General features: G+C 36.1%; 1 protein-coding gene across 3 annotated transcripts in view, besides 3 other annotated features; it reads left to right on the forward strand.

The window, feature by feature from the left end:
• TNFSF13B (TNF superfamily member 13b) overlaps positions 4,594–21,290 on the forward strand; it is a 38,856-nt gene continuing 22,159 nt past the window's right edge. For 2 of the 3 annotated variants that reach the window (NM_001145645.2, XM_047430055.1), the window contains exons 1-2: positions 4,594–5,199; positions 5,305–5,389. In NM_001145645.2, coding sequence (NP_001139117.1) covers positions 4,861–5,199; positions 5,305–5,389 — 424 coding nt within the window. In that variant the 5' untranslated portion in view covers positions 4,594–4,860. The remainder of the gene's footprint in view (positions 5,200–5,304; positions 5,390–21,290) is intronic. The other variant, NM_006573.5, reaches the window with a different exon arrangement.
• Positions 4,719–5,148: an enhancer, noted in NCBI's record as "active region_7988". NCBI's record gives its function as "activates an Ori minimal core promoter by ATAC-STARR-seq in GM12878 lymphoblastoid cells {active_cell/tissue: GM12878}" and the evidence as "EXISTENCE:reporter gene assay evidence [ECO:0000049][PMID:35858748]".
• Positions 5,100–5,608: an enhancer, noted in NCBI's record as "H3K4me1 hESC enhancer chr13:108922483-108922991 (GRCh37/hg19 assembly coordinates)". NCBI's record gives its function as "activates a minimal SCP1, AML or CMV promoter by ChIP-STARR-seq in primed H9 embryonic stem cells {active_cell/tissue: H9 hESC(primed)}" and the evidence as "EXISTENCE:reporter gene assay evidence [ECO:0000049][PMID:30033119]".
• Positions 5,509–5,588: a silencer, noted in NCBI's record as "silent region_5496". NCBI's record gives its function as "represses an Ori minimal core promoter by ATAC-STARR-seq in GM12878 lymphoblastoid cells {active_cell/tissue: GM12878}" and the evidence as "EXISTENCE:reporter gene assay evidence [ECO:0000049][PMID:35858748]".

A 21,290-nucleotide genomic window follows, 5' to 3' on the forward strand; every position in this document is an offset into this window, starting at 1 on the left:
GAAATGGATCCAAGAAATGGATTCATTCATCCAATCAATGAATCATGTTGATTCAGCACTATTCACAATAGCCAAAATATGGACTCAACCTAAGTGCCCATCAATAGATGAATGAATTTTAAAAATGTGGTATAATACAGTGGCCTACTATTCAGCCATAAAAAGTAAAATCCTGTCATTTGTAGCCACCTGGATGAGCCTGGACGACATTATATTAAGTGAAATAAGCTAGGCACAGAGAGACAAATACTGTGTAATCTCACTTATATATGCAATCTTACAAAGTTGATTTTATTGAAGTAGAGAGTAGGAGAGTGGTTACCGGAGGTATTGGGGTGGAGGTTTGTCACCTGGTACAAAGTCAGGGTTAGATAGGAAGAACGATTTCCAGTGTTCCATTGTACAGTAGGGCGGCTATAGTTAACAATAATATATTATATATTTCAATAGAGCTAGAAGACAGGATTTTCAAAGTTCTCACCAGATAGAAATGATAAATGTCTAAGGTGATGGATATGCTAATTTTCCTAATTTGATCATTACACATTGTATACATATATCAAAACATGACACTGTATCTCATAAATATATATGTGTCAATTAAAAATTTTTTAAATTAAAAATTATATACAGTGATTAACATTTAGCCTTTCAAATCAAATTTAACTATATAATAACTTAACACACATACTCTCTCTCTCTCCATTATATATAATATATATATAAAATATATAATATATAAATATTTTATATATATATAATATTTCTACTGGAAAACAGCATATTTTCCTGAAATGCAATACTTAACCTATATCATAAATCTTCCATATTCTGAGTGCTTTAGGATACCAATTTTATCTAGATGTAATTTTAGGTACATTTACAGATCGAGTACATTCACAGATCTAGAAGAGCTGTTGTCGCCATGCTTGACTGGTCTAAATCCTTTTCCTCAAAGGATTTTGAGGAAAACACGCTTTTCCTCAAAGAAAAAGGGCAAAGGAGAGATTCCTCAAACCTGTAATTCTTTATAGCACTATTTAGCCAGAAATTTATAATTCATTTTTAAAAATATTTTTGAGGTTGTCAATGTAAGAACATAGTCAGAGAGTGAATGTTTATTTTCTGCTGTTTCTGACTCCCGGACAAACTCACAAGTTATATTCTTTTGAATCCTATCTGCCTATTTCTGAGTGGATAGAACAGTTTCGTCAGTCACAAAGTCCTAGTATCTCAGTTTGTTTATTGAATGACAGAAGAATGCTTTACACTTACATTGAGAAAAAGATGTGTGTAAAAAGCAGCTAAATACTGTCAATAAACACTGAATGTATAATAAGATCGCTGCACAATCTGTGGCTCAGATACAGTGGCCTTTTGTCCCTGAATAAACTTGTGATGTGGTGTATTATTCAATGAACGTGAACATGCTTCTTGTTTAACAGAATTTCTGTTAAATTATTGCCAAACCATTTCCTCTTCCGGAAACAGATTCTTGATTTATGGAGTAATGACTTCCTTTTGTTCATCTAATAAGAGATTCAAGAGTCATGAATGTCACTTCGTTTTCTACCTGTCTTTAGAGAAAATGCAGCTGTCAGATCCCTGTGGAGGATGTGCACATTGCCATCCCTGCTTGCTGTCCCTCTAGCCAGAGGGACATGATGGCTGCCCTTTGTGGAAGAAGAACTTGCCCATTTTATGCATGGCACGGCTCACTGCCGCAACAAACATCGGCACTGGTTTAAAAATGGCTGCGTGCAGGCTGGCCAGTGACTCTCTTTTGAGATGTTCAGGCATGAAAGTCTCTGCCCAACACAGTGACGAAGGCAGAGGGAATTCCCTAAAGCAGTCAAATCATTCCCTGTCTTCAGAATTTTCTCTGAGGGATATAGAGGGGAACGACTCACCAGAAGAGGGAGAATGTCCATGGATGGAGAGAAGCAGTGGCTACAGGAAACCCTGAGTGAAACGCAGAGAGAAATTGCTTTCTAGCACTGCGTTGCATCCTTTCATTTCTGCATGTATTTAAATCATAAGAATACACAAACACATCATCTAAAGGATCTCAATGACTTTCAGTAAGAAGGCCTTCATACAATTCCCATACGAATTCCATTTTTTATGGCAAGGTTACTCCGTATGACTCACCCTAATTGTTCTGGAACAAGAACTGACAGAAAAGAATTGGACTGTCATTCCTGATGCAAAAGGGTTTACAAACATCCTTCTAAAAGAAGACTTCCACCTGAGAAGGTTGATGGAGGACCTCTTGTCTACGTACCTGTTAGACTGGGGCACGGTCACCTTATTGTGGGAGTTATAGGTAAGAAAAATTAGAGAGCAGCTTATTTTGGGGGCCAGGATAATAACAAGTTATTTTTAAAAGGTCTTGGAAACTTGCAGATGCAAAGGGAAAAAAACAAAAAACAAAAAACAATCCTAATGGTAAAAACAAGTAAGTCTGACTGCGTCATTTTGTAGTAAGACAATGAGGAAATGGGAACTCGTCAGAGGGTAACTGGGTGGTGCCTGTAAAAGTGAAGATGTGCTTCTCCCTCAGCAGGCATTTGCTGGGAAACCCTTGCAGACGTTACAAGCACAGTTGTAGAAAATATCTATTAGAGCACTGTTTGTAACTGAAAAATGTTTCATTCATACTTTGAATGTAAAGAATAAAAGTGAATGAAAAAATGGAAGCATTGCACCGTGCTTTTGATTTACATTTCCCTGATCATTTAGTACAACCACCATGGAAAACAGTGTGGAGATTCCTTAAAGAACTAAAAGTAGAACTACCATTTGATCCAGCAATCCCACTACTGGGTATCTACCCAGAGGAAAAGAAGTTGTTATACGAAAAACATACTTGCACACACATGTTTATGGCAGCACAATTCACAACTGCAAAAATATAGAACCAGCCCAAATGCCCGTCAATCAATGAGTGGATAAAGAAACTATGATACATATATATGATGGAATACTACTCACCCATAAAAAGGAATGAATTAATGATGTTCGCATCAGCCTGGATGGGATTGGAGACAATTATTCTAAGTGAAGTAACTCAGGAATGGAAAACCAAACATTGTATGTTCTAACTCACAGTGGGAGCTAAATTACAAAGATGCAAAGACATAGGAATGATCTAATGGACTTTAGGGACTCAGGGGAAAGGGTGGGAGGGGGGTGAGGAATAAAAGACTAAAAAATGGGTTCAATGTGTACACTGCTCGGGTGATGGGTGCACCAAAATCTCACAAATCACCACTAAATAACTTAACCATGTAATCAAATACCACCTATTCCCCAAAAACCTGTGGAAATAATTTTTTTTTAAATGGAAGCATCCAAAATGTAATTTGTTTCCACATTCTTGTAAGCCTCATTATGTATCCCAGGGACAGTTAATATCGTCATACGAATTCACAGGTGAGGAAATGGAATCACAGAGAGATTATGTACTTTGCATAAGGAGAGCGAGGGTGAGGCAGGATTTGCAGTCTAGAAGCCTGGGTCTGGAGTTCTCCACTTTGCACTATATCATTTCTGTAAACTTCTTACTTAAGACTGTGTGGAAATGTAGAGTGAGACAGAACTAAAGCTCACTATTCTTAGTCCACAGGGGAGTAGTGACTACCCAGGGCTTGGTAAGTGCTCAGTAACGTTTGTTGAAAGATGAATCAATATTTCAATGCTGGGGCAAAGCAGTGAAAAACTGGGGAATGTCCAGGAACCAGCCATCAGGATAAGGCAGGACTAGAATGAATGCAACAGTCCTCACAGGTCCACCAAGTCAACAACAGAAAAATCCAAAGCTAAGGTGGCTCTTGTGTGATCAAGGACCTCTTGTACACCGACCTGTTAGGCTGTGGCACAGTCAACATGGGAGTTGTAGACAAGCTACTTGAGAGTGGTTAATGGTAGCAGTCAGGCATTTGGAGCTGGAGGCAAGGCTGATTCTCCTCAACTAGTATCATATTGAGCGGGGACTTAAAGCCTCAGAAGTCTGAGCAGAAAAGCTGAGACCAGGCTCCTTGGGACAGGCTGTTCATATGCATGATTGAGTTTCAGTGATGAGTCCCAGAAGGAAAAAGTTTATGCATGTTTTCCTTAAAAATATATTCACTTATATTTAGAGAATCCTTCAGATATCTAACCTAAATACGTCTGTAACATTTACTCTCATTCTTTTTATGACATTATTAGTATAATAATATGAATAATTCCCAGTGGACTTACTTCCACACTTCCTTCAAGGATTCTCCATTTTATTTCATAATTGAAGACTGTTAATAAATCACTCTCTAGCTAAGAACAATTCAATGCTAAAACACTTAGCTTATCTGACCTTCACATTAATTATTTTTATGACAGCAGCAGGAACTTTCAGCTGCTTTTCCCCCTTCCTTATGAAGCCATGTGGTCCCAAGCAGACAGAGTTCCCTTGCTACACTTAAGGGTGGGCTTCTCAGACCTGAGCATATCTTAAAAGCTTTCCCTTGACTGTGCCAATCCAAACTCCAAGTTTCCTCAGCAGATTTAAGGGGTTTTAAATCTACTTGAGCATGAGTGTTATGAGAAGACTTTGAAATTCTTACAAAAACTGAAAGTGAAATGAGGAAGACAGATTGAGCAATCCAATCGGAGGGTAAATGCCAGCAAACCTACTGTACAGTAGGGGTAGAGATGCAGAAAGGCAGAAAGGAGAAAATTCAGGATAACTCTCCTGAGGGGTGAGCCAAGCCCTGCCATGTAGTGCACGCAGGACATCAACAAACACAGATAACAGGAAATGATCCATTCCCTGTGGTCACTTATTCTAAAGGCCCCAACCTTCAAAGTTCAAGTAGTGATATGGATGACTCCACAGAAAGGGAGCAGTCACGCCTTACTTCTTGCCTTAAGAAAAGAGAAGAAATGAAACTGAAGGAGTGTGTTTCCATCCTCCCACGGAAGGAAAGCCCCTCTGTCCGATCCTCCAAAGACGGAAAGCTGCTGGCTGCAACCTTGCTGCTGGCACTGCTGTCTTGCTGCCTCACGGTGGTGTCTTTCTACCAGGTGGCCGCCCTGCAAGGGGACCTGGCCAGCCTCCGGGCAGAGCTGCAGGGCCACCACGCGGAGAAGCTGCCAGCAGGAGCAGGAGCCCCCAAGGCCGGCCTGGAGGAAGCTCCAGCTGTCACCGCGGGACTGAAAGTGAGTTTGCAGCAGCTGCAAGACGCAGGCAAGATCCTGCCTACACTGCTGCCTCTCCCTCGCCTCAGCTGTCTTTCTAATAACTTGAAGTTTTTCTGTTCATAGATCTTTGAACCACCAGCTCCAGGAGAAGGCAACTCCAGTCAGAACAGCAGAAATAAGCGTGCCGTTCAGGGTCCAGAAGAAACAGGTATGTTTTGGGCACAGACACTTTTAGGAGTCAGGGATTAGAGAATAACATCCAGTCTGGGGGAGCTGGAGGTGAGTATCCCCTCTATGAACCTATTAAATAGAGACTATGAAATTTGCCATCCAAAGCAGACATTGCTTTAGAGCAAAGCCCCAGCGCTGGCAAATGTAACAGGCTGCATGGGTGTGCTTTTTCCTCCAATGAGCAGATCGTGTGACTGGAAGCATTTCTCTGTGCGTGTGTAAGTATTTATCTGTGCATTAAGCATAGAGGAGATAAAAGGGCCATATGTGTTTCCTCAGGTAGATAATGCCCTCCCATGTGAGAAGCATTATTCATCACTCCAGAAAAATAAAAAAAAGCATTACATGTTAGAATTAGACTTTGCTTACTACCTGGGTCATAGAAAGTTAAAGACATCTGTTTTCTGAATGTACATTACATGTTGTGAAACCAGGTGAAGGTTGTAATGAAAGGCCCTGTATGTTGTACTTTAATTTTGTTTATTTGTTAAAAAGGTTATTTTACACACACACACACACACACGCACAGACACACACACAGATTTTAAAGCTTCTCTTTAAGGTACGCTTTTCCAGGGGATCCATGCATTTATCGTCTTCTTATAATCGTCCTTTACTGATTTCTGACTTTCTTCATGTTCTGCTCATTCCACGGAACTTTACAGAGTTGGTGGGGCCTACCAAAATGATCGATTCTAGTTCTTTCATTTGAAGGTGAAAAAAAGAATCTTTGTATACATTTATTAAAGTTATAATATAACAAATTCTTAATATTATTGTCCTTTTATTAAATATATTGAAAGAATATTTTTTGAGCACCTGGAACGTATCGTACAGCTATAGACCAGAATAGGCATTTTCAAACATACTATTTCGTTTAACCTTCACAGTGACGCTATGAAGTCCACAGAATACATGCAATAATTTATGTATATTTTCACTTCTGAAGAGAATTGCATAAGAAATGTAGTGAGAGATAGACCAGGGACCCTTCTATCACACACACACACACACACACACACACACACACACACACACACACGCATGAGGTACCCTGACTATAAACTTATTTTTTGACTATATGCTTTATTCATAAAAAATTGTTTCTTATTTTATAAAACCATAATTTTTGGTATCTGGTTATTGTATCTTTATACTAGTTATCAGGAATAACTGGGCTTAAACATTTTTAAATTAGGAAACATGCACATTTTTATTATTTTAACACATCAATTATTTTTATCGTCTGCATTTTATAGTCTATATTTCCTACATAATTGAAAATAATACGGAATATATACTATAATATTTTTTGTTTTGACTTATACAATAAGGATTTTTCCTATTTCTAAGTATTTTTCATATATCTGTATTAATTTATCTAACAATTGTTTTAAATGGTTATTTCCATTCTCTTTGCTATAATACAACATGCAAAAGTTTTGCACAGAACTCTTTTATTTCTGTGAAATTATATATTCAATATAAAATTCATATAGTGGAATATCTGAGCTAGGGAGAAGAAACATCTTCATCACCCTTGCTTCCGACTGCCATATTGTTTTCAAAATGAGTTATACATGCAATCAAAAATGTGGTGTACCGGTTCTCCACATTCTTGCTTGCATGTTATTTTTAAAGTGTATTTTGACTAGTTTAGTAGTTGTAAAACAATATCTCACATTTATTTTGATGTGTTGCTTGTTTACTAATATGAATAAACTTTCTGCATATTTTGATTATTTATAATTTTATCTTTTGCTAATTTTTATTTATAACTGTCTCCACTTGTCTGTCCCATGTTTTTATAATTTTGGATAAGCTCTTCCTAATTAGACATATTGATAATTGATCAAAATTTTGATGTAAATATTTTAACAGTTTTGCTTCTTTTTTTACTTGAACATTTTGCATTTCTCTATAGTAAAGTGATAATCTTTAAAAAATTTTCCCTAATATTAAAGCTAAAAATACATTTGTTCATGTTTTCTTAAGTAGTTGACTCCCTGCCACTTTGACTTTTTCATAGTTGAGTGTTTTGTTTTAACTCATTAGTCCTTCTGTTGTTTATTTTGATGAATCATCTCACATTGGCTTTAACTTCCCCCTCTCTCTTTTTTCCTTTCTAACTGGTATCTCAACCAAATGTATTAAATAGTTCTTTTTAACTCCTTGGTGTTGAAAAGCTTACTGTGTTTTATTAAGTTCCTCATAAGAGTTGAATCTATTTGAGACTCTTTTTTTTAATTGATTATTCTATTTATATGCTTTAAAGAATATTTTTAAGGTAATTTGTATTATAAGAGGCTTCAATAACTAGTAGGGTCAGGATCCTTCAATCTCCTTAACCTTCACTGCTAATATCCCCGTTTCTAAATATTAGTTTTAAAAATAAACTTTAACTTTACAATTAAAAAAAAAGATGTAGACTCATTTCAGCAGATTTAAGAAGAAAAGAATAATAGAGTAGGAAAGAAATAACTTCTTGGGTCACATTTTCCCAAAATTCTCCTATTAATACTTTTATGTATTTGTGTTTTAATGGCATCCAGGAATAGTATACTGATGAGAATCTTTCACCAAATAATTTGCAATTTGTAGATTCTAACAAAGTGAAAAAAAATTTGCCCAGATTTCCACAGCCCAGAAGTAGCTACTATTATTATTTCATGGTTTGCCCTAGACTTTTTAATAAACCTTAATACAGTGTGCATATAGGTATATATTGCACACAGTTGAGCCTTGAACAACACAAGTTTTAACAGCATGGATACACTTACAGGTGGATTTTTTTTTTCAATAAACCTATTGGAAAATTATCTGTAGATTTGTGATAATTTGAAAAAACTCATGGAAGAACTGTGTATCTTTGAAATGTTGAAAATATTAAGATTAATTAGCCATGTCATGAATGTATAAAATATATGTAGATACTGGTCTATTTTCTTATTACTATCATAAAATATACACAAAAGTTAAAAATTCTCAAAACATATGCATACAAACAGACTGTACATAGCGCCCTTTGTAGTCTAGAGAAATGGAAACAAACATAAACATGCAGTATTAAGTCATCACTGCATAAAATTAACTGTGGTACATACTGTACTACTGTAATAATTTCATAGCCACCTCCTGTTGCTACTGCAGTGAGCTCAAGTGCTGTGAGTATCTGCTTAAAACACCATGTGATGCTAATCATCTCTGCATGAGCCAGTTGTATCTCCAATCAGTTGGATATTGCAGTAAAAATGATTTCTCATGATTTGTGTGTATTTTTCTTCTTGTGTAATGCAATATCATAAACCTTGAATAACACCATGAGACCTATAGAAAATGCGATAGTGATGCTGGAAATGCTCCCAGGAAGCAAAGAAGAGTCATGACATTATAGTTGACCCTTGAACAACACAGGTTTGAACCGCGAGGGTCCCCTTGTATGTGGATTTTCTTCCACTTTCCACCCTTGAGATAGCAAGACCAACGCCTCCTTTCCCTCCTCCCCCTTAGCTTACTCAATGTGAAGAATGAAGAACTCTATAATGATCCACTTCCACTTAATGAATAGTAAATGCATTTTCTCTTCCTTATGATTTTTTAAAATAACATTTTCTTTTCTCTAGCTTATTTTATTGTAAGAATACACTACATAATACATATAATTTATGAAATGCGTATTGATTGAGTTTTTGTTATCAGAAAGGCTTCTGGTCAACAGTGGGCTGTTAGTAATTAAGATTTGGGAGTCAAAAGTTAAGCACAAAGTTTTGACTGCATGGGGTCAGTGACCCTAATTCCTGTGTTGTTCAAGGATCAACTGTATTTGTTCATATACATATGAACAATACATATGAACAATACATATATGAACAAATACATATATTTATACAAATATATGTACAAATATATACACATACAAATATATATATATATACATATATATACATACATAGTGTGCATATGTGTTATGTGTATATATTCAAATAGGACATAGTATACACACTCATAACTTTCACAAATCCAAGGTGGAAGATTTGAAGATAAGAATCTTAATGACATCATGTCTACTATTCCTTGTTAATAAAATTAGGAAATTCATTTGAATGTTGTTCTAGATACTATTCTTTGGTGGAGGGAAAGTTTATTTTATTTAGCATACTCCAAAATTAATGTTTATATTCCCAAAAAAGTTGTCTGTAACACAAGGACGTTTTTTAGTAGGAATTTTTTGGCATTGAGAAAATTCTATGCAGCTTTCTTTGATTTTTGTTTTCATTCAAGTTCTGATTTATTTTCAGTAAGACTCAAAACCTTAAGTTGTCCTTTTTACTTTTAAAGTGTTTATTTATGTTCATATTTATTAATTGTCTACATGTTTTAGAACCAAGTATTTTTATTGGAACTTCACACAAACTGTAGAAGAAGGGAGGGGAATTACCATCAGCCAACATGTCCCAATGATACTCTCTTCCAGGCATCCCATGGGTAAACAGTGGTTTTACTTAATGTTTTAATTTTAGAATTTAGTACTTTGGCTTTAGTTTTGTTTTTCTTAATTACTTTGTGTTTCAAACCAAAATCTCATTAAGCTTAATGTATTTCATAATATCATTTTTGATTGTAGTATAATAAACAGAAATGTGGGGAAATCCAGGATTAAAAAATTGCCAAATAGCTCATATTAGCCAAAAATTCACTTTTAAGCCCGTAACTGTGTTTGGAGATATTCCCAATTTAAAAATTAACTAAAACAATATGGCTTTGAAAATATTACGTAATAAAATTTATTTACAAATGGAATCATGAAGATCCACATTTTGAACATCACTTAACTATAATTTTATTAATTTTAAGAACCTAAAGATGAATGTCTTTAGAGTCTATCAAGAAAGTGAATTCTTTCAAATGGGTATCACTGACCTAAAAAGGTTCATTGTTAAAATTAGGTAACCATTGTATTTTCTTTCCTGTTAATTAATAACTATTAGAAATTTATGTGTTTTAGGATACAGAAAGACAAAATTATTTTTATTGATAATGTTTATTATAATTGTCTCAATTTTAATAATAAAATAATAGTAAAAATATGGACAATTCAAAGTAATGTAAAGCAAGAATAGAAAAAATTGTCCGTATTTCACCTTCCAAATAATTATCATGAGATTTTTGGTCAATCTACTTTAAGGTATATTTTTCTTCATTTTTAAGTGAGCTTGGGATTGTTTAAGAATTACACACAGCTTGCAAAGAATACAGTGTGTTGGCATGTACCCCTATCCAGCTTCCCTAATACTAACATCTTATATGAACATGGTATTTCATTACAAAAAGGAAACCAACATTAAGACTTAACTATTAGCTAAATTCTAGACTTAATTTGAATTTCACGAGTTTTTCTACTAATGATTTTATGTTTTAGGATCCATCAGGATATCACATTGTATTTAACATTTTTTAAATTAAAATTTTGAATGTAGCATATATAAACACCAAATATTATACCTTAAGTTTTCTATCGGATAAACCTTTCTAATTGCTAAAAGTGAAGATATCAATACTATTTTTGAGTCTTCTTTTTTGAAATCCAAAGTCCAACTCCTTTGCAAGGAAAGATGAGATGTTTGACAAGTCTGTAATGTCCAGTCTTTGCCCGGTTGGCATTTCTGGCTTAGCTGTGAGTTCCAGGCTGTAACATGAGTGTTGGAAGCGTGCAATGTAGAACTTGACCATCCAGCCCTTATCAAAATTAGGCTGACTTGAGCCTCTTACCCAGCAAGGGTGTGTTCCTTCGTGGAACAGAACCAGCTGGCTGCTGCTTAGGCGATCTTTGACCAGAGCTTTCCCTGAGAGTTATTTTTTCTTTCCCCCTGCTTCAATAGTGAGACTTTTCTTCAGTGTTGCAAGAACTGGCTTCTGTTCAACTTCTGGAAAAGCATTTAAAATTGAAAACGTTGACCTTCCAACCAAATCTTTGACCTGTTCTTGTTAAGCTTGAGATTTTGGGAAACGGAAGAGCTAGGAAACAAATCAGTCAACACAGCCAAATGTGATATTGTGTCTCTTTTACACAATCTTACATTATCGTGAGTTGAAGAGAAACAGAAAAATGATAGTACATATAGTTAATTAGCAAATTAAAATACAAAAAAATGGTAAATATGTTGAAAAAGTGAAAAGGTTAGGGCAGGTGAATGAGTATCAGGAATGTGAAGGGTGAGGAAGGGAAAGAAATGCGTTTTCATTTTGAATGGAGAGGCCAGGTTCATTAAGCCTTTTTATCTTTTCTTGAAAGCTCAATAATTCTTTATACTTTTGACTATTTTTTTTAACATTGCAGACATGGGTAGGTGATTTTTAAAATAAATTCAAAATGTTTATACCTGTGTTGTTTTTATTAGTAATTCCATATGAATGGAAAATGTTAGTTTTAATGCTTATTCTTTTTATAGATCAACTCCTACTTAAAAGAACTGCATTGAGCAGCTGCATTTTTGTTGTGGTGATATTTTTTTTTTAAAAGACATTCCCATTTCTGAAGAGTTAGAGAAACAGAAGGTTTCTCTTCAAATAGATTTATCACCCACTGTTTCTGCAAATATCTGAGGTAGGCACTCCATAATATACAGAGAAGAGGACAGCGAAGCTAACAATTATCAGGCGTGTTTCATGTGCAAACACTGTGTTGGGCTCTGGGAATGTATATCATTTACTTTCTCAACAACTCTGTTAGTTGGGCATTATTGTTTTCATTTTAGATGAGAAAGCTGCAACCCAGAGAATCAATTGCCTCTCTCAGCAAGCTAATTATTTAATAGTTGGAGAAGTTAAGCCAAATTGATGCAAAATTTAAAAGAACAATAAAATAGACAAGTTATTTACAATTCATAAAACACATCTAAATGATGACTTCAATCTATTTTCGCAGCAGTATGAAATGGATATTGCTATTCCCATTGTTACAGGACCCAACACTCACCCAAAGTTAACCTTTGGGTCGGGGGTTTCTGTACTATATTCCCTTCTGTGGTCGCCAGAGAAATGTTACAGGAAAGGAGTCCCGATCCAGACCCCCGGAGAGGGTTCTTGGATCTGACGCCAGAAAAAATTCGGGGCGAATCCACAGGGTAAAGTGAAAGCAAGTTTATTAGGAAAGTAAAGGAGTAAAAGAATGCCGAAACCATAGACAGAGCAGCCCTCAGGGCTGCTAGTTGCCCATTTTTATGGCTATTTCTTGATGATATGCTAAACAAGGGGTGGATTATTCATGCCTCCCCTTTTTAGACCATATAGTGTAACTTCCTGACATTGCCATGGCATCATGACGCTGGCGGGAGTGTAGCAGTGAGAACCACCAGAGGTCACTCCTCGCCATCTTGGTTTTGGTGGGTTTTGGCTGGCTTCTTTACTGCAGTCTGTTTTGTCAGCAACGCCTTTGTGACCTGTATTTTGTGCTGATCTCCTATCCCATCCTGTGACTTAGAATGCCTTAACCATCTGGGAATACAGCCCAGTAGGTCTCAGTTATTTTACCCAGCTCCTATCCAAGATGGAGGTTCTCTGGTTCACCTGCCTCTGACATCATTATACAGATTTAAAATGCTTCAAAATTAAGTGTCAAACTCATGGTTTGACAACTAATTGATAGGAGAGGTAAGGTTTGAATTCATTATCTATTGATTATAAATTCTGATTTTTTTCAATGATAATGGCTGTACATGCTTAATTTTCAAGTGTGCCACCAGATTTGAGAAAAAATATTGGGTCTGACAAGGCCCAGGGTATTACGATTAATGCCAGTGAGAGAGACATCAAGTTAAGGAATCAGAGAATGTTGTTAGTGGTAGAGATCACAGACTGCGAGATTATCTAGACAGTGGTCAAGAGAGCTGAAGTGGGTTTGAAGATGGAGCAGACTTGGGTAAGAGGACAGAATAACTGAGGTTATGAGGACAAGGTAGAAATAGGAAACAGAAATAATTCAAGAAAAGGCCTTGTTTTAGTAGGCATAGAGGCTTATCCCATACAAACATCTTTATATTATCCCTTTCCTCTTCTAAATTTGTAAATTTTTGCAAGTGCTGATCTGTTGAAGTGTTTTTGCAAATGCAAGCTTTCTTCCTACCCCCTCCTCTCCTCCTCCTCCCCTTCTCTTCCTCCTCCTCCCCTTCTCTTCCTCCTCCTCCCTTTCCTCCTCCTCCACTTCTCTTTCTCCTCCTCCTCTCCTCCTCTCCTCCTTTCCTCCTCCTCTTCCTCCTCCTCCCCTTCTCTTCCTCCTCCTCCTCCTTCTGATCAGGTTATTTGAGACAGGGAAGGGTAAGAGAAAAGGGAATAACTGCGCTGTGACAGCTCCTGACAGCAGCTATGAAGTCTCACTTTCAGGCCTTTTTCTCTTCTATCTGCCCCACTGGAGCCTCTGGAAATTACAAAATAAGACATTTTAGGAAAATGGTGCACAACTACTTACTTTAAAAATATTATAGAGTGCTACACTTCTGTGGATAGAGATTCAAAAATGTATTATTAAGGTTTTCTCTTGAGGAAAATGTTTCCTATATAACTGAGGGTTCAAAGCCTATTATGAGAGAGTCCACAATTCATGGAAATTGTTTTGTTTTATGGAACCCCTTTTCCCTCAAGCAATGACTTGATTTAACACATTTCATAAAGCTGGATTTAGTGACTGGTTTTTAAGAATTGTTTGGAAAAGTTGAGTGCTATTTTTTATGTAAATTGTTTCATATATTATTCCACGGATTTTTTTTTAAGTCTGCTGTAAATCAGACACTGAAAATTTGTGAATGGTTGTCCTTAATATCAAGTGATTCACAATCTAGGGAGAGAAACAGTTACAGAAACAATTGCGTGTATAGTAACATGTATTTCAATAGATGATATGCAAAGTATAGTGGGATCAAATATTTTGCTAGAAGTATTGTAGAAAAAGTTTGTATTTGATTTCAGTACTGAAGGATGAATGGAGTTCCACTGGATAGAAGGTAAAGTATATTTAGTAGGAGGGAACAGCAGACATACAGTCATGGAAGCATGGAAGATGACCTCTCATTCTGAGATGTGTTTAAGTACAACTGGGTTTGGGTGGGTGACACGCATGAGACTGTGAATGTTGGCTGGGCCGGGGCATGGAGGAACTGTTTTGTATTCCAGGGAGATGCAGTGAGTGAATTGTAAGCATTAGAATGAGAAGAACAAATTTGCACTTAGAAAGATAATTCAGGAGGAAATGCAAATGATGGGCTAGGAATTGTGAAAAAGAGGCACAACTTGGTAGGCTAATGGAATTGTCAAGAATGGTGAGGTAGGGATTCGAATTTAGGCTGCTATGCTCCTCATCTTCCTTCCTCTCTCTCTGTGTCCCTCCCAACATCACCCTCTGCATAGATTCATGAGCTGTTAATTTTGTCCGTGATGCTCCTATTGCTCCTCTTTTTTTCTGATTTTAGTTGAAGTGTCACCTCCCAGAGAAGCCTTCCTGATTGGATCAAATGCCCGGCCCGGGCACCAAGAATTAAAGTTGAAACTTTAATTCTGTCCGTGTGATGTTGAGTAATACCCATTTCTTCCACTGGATTGTAAACTCCCTGGGGGCAGGGATGGCGTCTGCTTTTTTTTTTTTTTTTTTGCTGTTCTTAGCACAACACCTGACGTAGATTAAGTCCTTAGTAAATTTGTTAAAATGAAATGAATGAGAGATGGAATCTAAATTGAAAAAAAGTTAAAAATTTAAACCATTCGAACTTGATTATTAGTTGAACTCCAAGATTGAGAAGGCAGAAATCAGGAATGTTTATAAAGTTTGTAGCTTGGGCAACTCAGAGGATAGTTATATATCCACTCAGAGAGAAAATAAGTATGCATGAGAAAGATAAAGCATTATATTTGAGACATGTTGAATCTGAAGTATCACTAAGGCATCCAAATGGAAAGGTCCAAGGGGAAAGTGAAGATTTAATTGCTGATTGGGGAATTCATTAGTAACTTCATACATTCAACTGTTTTTCTATTTTTGGCTTTATCTTCCTTGACATCAGGTTGGTTTACACGTGATATTGTGAAGCTACTGTTCTTCACTGGCAAGCTCCTGATATTCAGTGCGTTCCAAGAATATATTATTAATAAATTGAAATATTCTAACATAATTCAGTGAAGTCATGGAGAAACACAGATGATGATTCAAGTATAAAATTATCAATTTAAAATTAAAATATTAGATGAATAGTAAACTGAAGCAACATTAAGTCATGATAATGCTTTTTTTTTTTTTACTCTTAGTGCCTATGAGGCAATACAAAAGGCTTGCAATTTTACATCTCCTATATTGCTTTAAGCACAAAACATAGTTAAAATATGAGTGGATATGTGACAATGATCAATTAGTGCTTAAGATTCTGTCTATACAAACACACACACACGCAAGTTACAGAAAATTATCATTTGAGGCCGGGCGTGGTACCTCGGCCTCTAATGCCGAGGTATTTAGAGGTATTAGAGGTATTAGAGGTAATTAGAGGTAGCTCACACCTCTAATGCCAGCACTTCAGGAGGCTGAGGTAGGTGGATCACCTGAGGTCAGGAGTTCGAGACCAGCCTGACCAACACAGAGAAACCCTGTCTCTACTAAAAATACAAAATTAGCCAGGTGTGGTGGCACATGCCTGTAATCCCAGCTACTCAGAAGGCTGGGAGAATCATGTGAACCTGGGAGGCCGAGTTTGCAATGAGCCAAGATTGTGCCATTGCACTCCAGCCTGGGCAATAAGAGTAGAACTCTGTCTCAAAAAAAAAGAAAAAGAAAGAAAAGAAAATTATCATTTGAAGTATTTGTCATCATTCCATCAGCTGTGGTTTTTTCTATTCTATCAACTCCTTTCCAACACCCGCTTCCAAAAAATACCCAGCACCCCTTTCTTACTTTCTCAGGAACACTATAGTGCTATTATCTTTCTGAATTCTCCAAAATTAAAAACTATTGGTCACGACTTCAATTTTTCTTCACAATGTATCTTAGATGCTGCATTTACATAACTGCATTTGAGACCAAACCATCCTCACCCTATGTCTTTTCCCAGTAGATCACTGAGACCTTTGCTGCCACCCTCCCTTTACAGGAGCTCGCTTCACACACAGACAGGAACATGATTTTCCTCAAGTACAAGGTCTGTCAGGCAGACCCCTCCCAAGATTGAGAACTCTACTTATAAGAATTTCTAGTAGGCCAATATGTACTTCTCGATCTAGTTTTCTCAAAATTCAAAGTTCTCGACTTTTATTACTTTTTTAAGTAAGCAACCAAAGCAAACTGCTTATCGTTGGTCAACCTTATAAACTAGCTTCCCTCCTCTAAATTCATGTGTTTTAATTTCAGTGAAAATGTTAATTCAATACCATGCTTTCCCCATTTTCTTCATAAGTCTTTGTCAAATATTAGGTCAATATTGAGATCTTTAAGTGTTTTTTTTTTCTAGTTAACATTTTTCTGCCACTGATTATTTATTCAAAGCTAGTTCAAGAAAAATTAAACAGCTACATTTGTCATAACTTACGTTTACCAAATGATAAGTTTTGCAGAAATGAAAGTGAGGCATTGCCGTCCAAGATCCTCCTTCTTTAAAAACATATGGTGCAATAAATAAGATGACAGGAAAAAAACCACACAAAGAGATAAGGGAAGATGCAGGACTTACATCTCATCTGGAGGAGGCTTCTTGAATGAGATGAGTGAGAAGCACTATGAAGAATCTGTGGGTGCAGGTGATATGGATGGGATAATCGTAATGGGAATGCTCTGTGTGTAATGTTTTTCATGGGAGACACATATAATCTGCAGTAATTGCGTTATTTATGGTAGTTCATATTAGATTTAGCTTTGTTGAAATAATGAATAATAAACCAGTTTCAAGTTTTAATGGATTCAGTTCCAGTACAGAAAATAGTATAACAGATATTACCAATTCTCTAAACTTTCAAATCACTTTTTCTGATTAAATGGTATTTAGACATTATACTTCAAAAGGTGGCCTTTCAAACTGTAAAAATGTTTCCCATATGGTTAGTATTTAAATTACACTCTAATTGTGAAGTATTGAATTTTATTGTGTTAAATATTGATCAATAGCAAATTATTTTTGTCCTTAAATTCTTATTTTGGTAATTTTATTTTGTAAACATTTTGTGATCATTATAATATTTTGTTTTTAGAAATGTTTTATGTGAAGTTTATTATGATGAGTAAATTCTCTTATGCTGTAAAACGGCATTTTATAAGATTATGTATTTTACACATTATTACATCATAATCCCCAGAAATGTATATTCAGAAATGTGTCTCCATAGGCTCGGAAGGGTTTTAATGTATATTATTGCCTTGCTTAGTTAAAAGAAAAAACAATAACAAACATAAAAAAAACTATTCTTAACCTCTTGTGTAATTCCTTTCAATTGTAGTAGAGGGAGAGATGTGTGAAAGGCATTTGAGAACCAAACAATAATCAATTAATATGATAATTACTATCAAATTGTGTTTCTTATATTAAACTACGCATTTTCAAAACTCTTGTGGTTAGATATCTGTGTTACTGGAAGATATTAAAAATAATATTGCCATTTTTGCTCCTCTCTTTGTGAGGCAAATCTCTAGCTGAGCACTAATCTCCAGCCTAAGACCAGATCTATGTTGAATGAGAAAGAAAGTCTTAAAAGGCTGAATAGGAGATAAGTTGAAATAGCTGAAATAGTTGAAATTCGATAATAGCTATCAAATTTCCTAAAGCGAATTGCCTTGGAAAAGTCGAGTAACTTTGTCTGGAACAAGGACAATTATTCATTCTGCATCCCTAGGCAATTTCACCATTGTGCAAACATCAGAGCATACTTACACAACTTCAGTGGCTGTAATTTAAACCTCATTATTGAAACATCAATTTTATATCTTATTTTCTCTTCTGAAGAACAGTTCTTGAAAGAAACTTTTCTCTTTAAAGCACATTTTCTGCTAAATGTTAGATTTCTGCTACTACATGAGAGAATAGACCACTGTTTTTCAATGTGTAGGTTGTGACTAAGTTTTAATTGGGCTGTGGAGACTAAAAAGGAGACATATTCATGGTGTCAAGTCATTACTTATTAGGTAAACTTCTCTCTGACTACATAGAACATCTAAATCTGCCTTAGTTCATTCAAGGCTGTTATAACAAAATACCATAGACTGAGTGGCTTGTAAACAACAGAGACTTATTTCTCCCAGTTCAGGGGGCCGGAAGTCCAAGACCAAGATGCCTAAAGATTTCGGTATCTGATGAGGACTTGCTTCCTGGCTTGTAGATGATGCCTCCTCACTGGGTTCTCACGTGGGGAAAATAGGGCAAGCTAGCCCTTTGGGATCTCTTTTATAAGGATACTAATTCCATTCATGAGTGCTCTGCCCTCATGGCATAATCACCTCCCCAAAGTCTTCCTAATAGCATCACCTCAGCAGTTAGGTTTCAACATAGGAATTTGGGGGCAACACAGACATTCAGACCATAGCCGTCTCCTACTGAAGTTTTTGGGAAACAGAGAAAGGGTGACTTGAAATAGGAAGTCATGGCCGGGCGCAGTGGCTCACGTCTGTAATCCCAGCACTTTGGGAGGCGAGGTGGGCGGTTCACGAGGTCAGGAGATCGAGACCATCCTGGCTAACACGATGAAAGCCCGTCTCTATTAAAAATACAAAGAATTAGCCAGGCATGGTGGCGGGCACCTGTAGTCCCAGCTACTCGGGAGGCTGAGGCAGGAGAATGGCGTGAGCGCGGGAGGCGGAGCTTGCAGTGAGCTGAGATCGCGCCACTGCACTCCAGCCTGGGCGACAGAGCGAGACTCCGTCTCAAAAAATAAATAAATAAATAAATAAATGAATAAATAAACAAACAAACAAACAAACAAACAATAAAAAAAGACAAAAGAAATAGGAAGTCATACATTCTGTATTTCTTTAGCCTTTATCAGCTGCAGTTGGGCAGCATGTTTCCACGGTGTCCTTCCATGATGTTTTCTAAGTTATTTGCCTTGATATTATTAAGAACAATAATGCTAACACCACTACTGATACAAATAGTCAAGATTTATTTATTTTGCAGGTGTTATGCACTGAGTATAGCGCAAAGTGCTTCCCATGCATTGTGTCATTTACTCTTTACAATATACGTATAACAAAGGAAAGATGCAAAGTTTAAAAATCTGACTTTGACGTTCATCAACATCCTCCCTTGTTTTTGATGTGGAGGAAAGATGAGAGCTTTGTATGCTCTGATTGACCCTAGTGCCACTCAGAAACCTGTCAGGGTGCCTTGTGAATAATAATTACTTAAGAAGGATTTGTTGGAAAAATAAAAACTCTTTTAAAATAGGTTGAATGTGGCTACTACTGTACTACTATAGAGACTGTACGCTTGGGGCTTTAGCTGCCCCGGAGGCTTTGTTATTCCTTTCTTTCATGCTGTCCTCATTCACTACCATTCTTCCTGTTAGGATGCTTTTCCATACTTCCAGCAGAACAGAGTCTGCCATAGTGACTAACGAATCATGTTTTTCCTGGGGCACAGGCATGGATACCTTTCTTGTATAAGATTAATAAAAGAATCCTCAGAGTGGACCAAAATGCTCTGCTCCTATCAAAATATCTGAAAATTGACATAAAAATGTGTTAGAAAAGCTTTATAGTTATAAAGGAATTATAGTTTTTAACAATATATTTTCATCTTTAAATACCAAGAATTTCTTAACAGATTTTCTTATGTGACCACACCCTTTAATAGTATGTATTTATACAAACTCAAACTTATTTAGCTACTGCTATGTTATTTCAAGTTTTAAATACATTCATGTGTTGCTTAATAACAGGGATATAGTCTCAGGGATACATTCTGCATCCCTGGGCAATTTCATCATTGTGCAAACATCAGAGCATACTTACACAAACCTAGGTGGTGTAGCCTTCTACACAACTAGGCTCTGCAGTACAGACCATTGCTCCTAGGCTACCAACTTGTACAGCATGTTACTGTATTGAATATTGTAGGCAATTGTATAATAATGCAATGGTAAGTATTTGTGTATCTAAACATAGAAAAGGTATAGTAAAAACTTGGTATTATAAATAATCCCATTGAACCACCATCAGATATGCAGTTTCTCATTGACCTAAATATTATGCAGTGCATGACTGTATTAGAAATTTTTCAGCTAATCTCCATACAATCACCAACTAGTCACAGTAGAAGTTCCCTACTGTGTCAAGTTCATAAAATGTATACATTGAGAAGCATCTTTATAAAGTATTACTTTAACTCTTAGTAAAATATTTGGTAGATAAAAAACTACACTAATATTTTCTTAATCTAAAACATGCAAGCTTAGATTTCTGTTTCATATTTTTCACAGACATTTACTGCTTTATTGTATCTTCCCTACAGATCCAGCAGGTGTACTTAATTTGCTTTTGCCTAAAGGCATTTCTCCTTATTTAACACAATGTTATTTAGTTTCTTAAATATTGACTGGAATATTCTACATGTAATATGTGATGTGAATTGATGTTTTCAGGAAGCTTTACTAACTATATGCACTTGCATGGAAGTCTTCCATTTTATTTGTAAAAGATGTTCTATCTCTCTTTCTCTCTTTGGTCCAATATATTTTACCAAAAGCTTGACTTTGGATCCAGAGTGAAACAGGTGGGGTTGAAATTCTGGTCCCATCACTTTCTGTCTCTGATTCCTGAACAAGCTGTTTGCACTTTCCGAGCCTTAGTTTCCAATATCTAATTTTTAGGATTCTTGTGAGGGTAAAAGGAAGTGATATATACTGTCTTGGTACACTGTCTG

The sequence above is a fragment of the Homo sapiens genome, chromosome 13, assembly GCF_000001405.40.
Source record: "Homo sapiens chromosome 13, GRCh38.p14 Primary Assembly".
Taxonomy (NCBI): domain Eukaryota; kingdom Metazoa; phylum Chordata; class Mammalia; order Primates; family Hominidae; genus Homo; species Homo sapiens.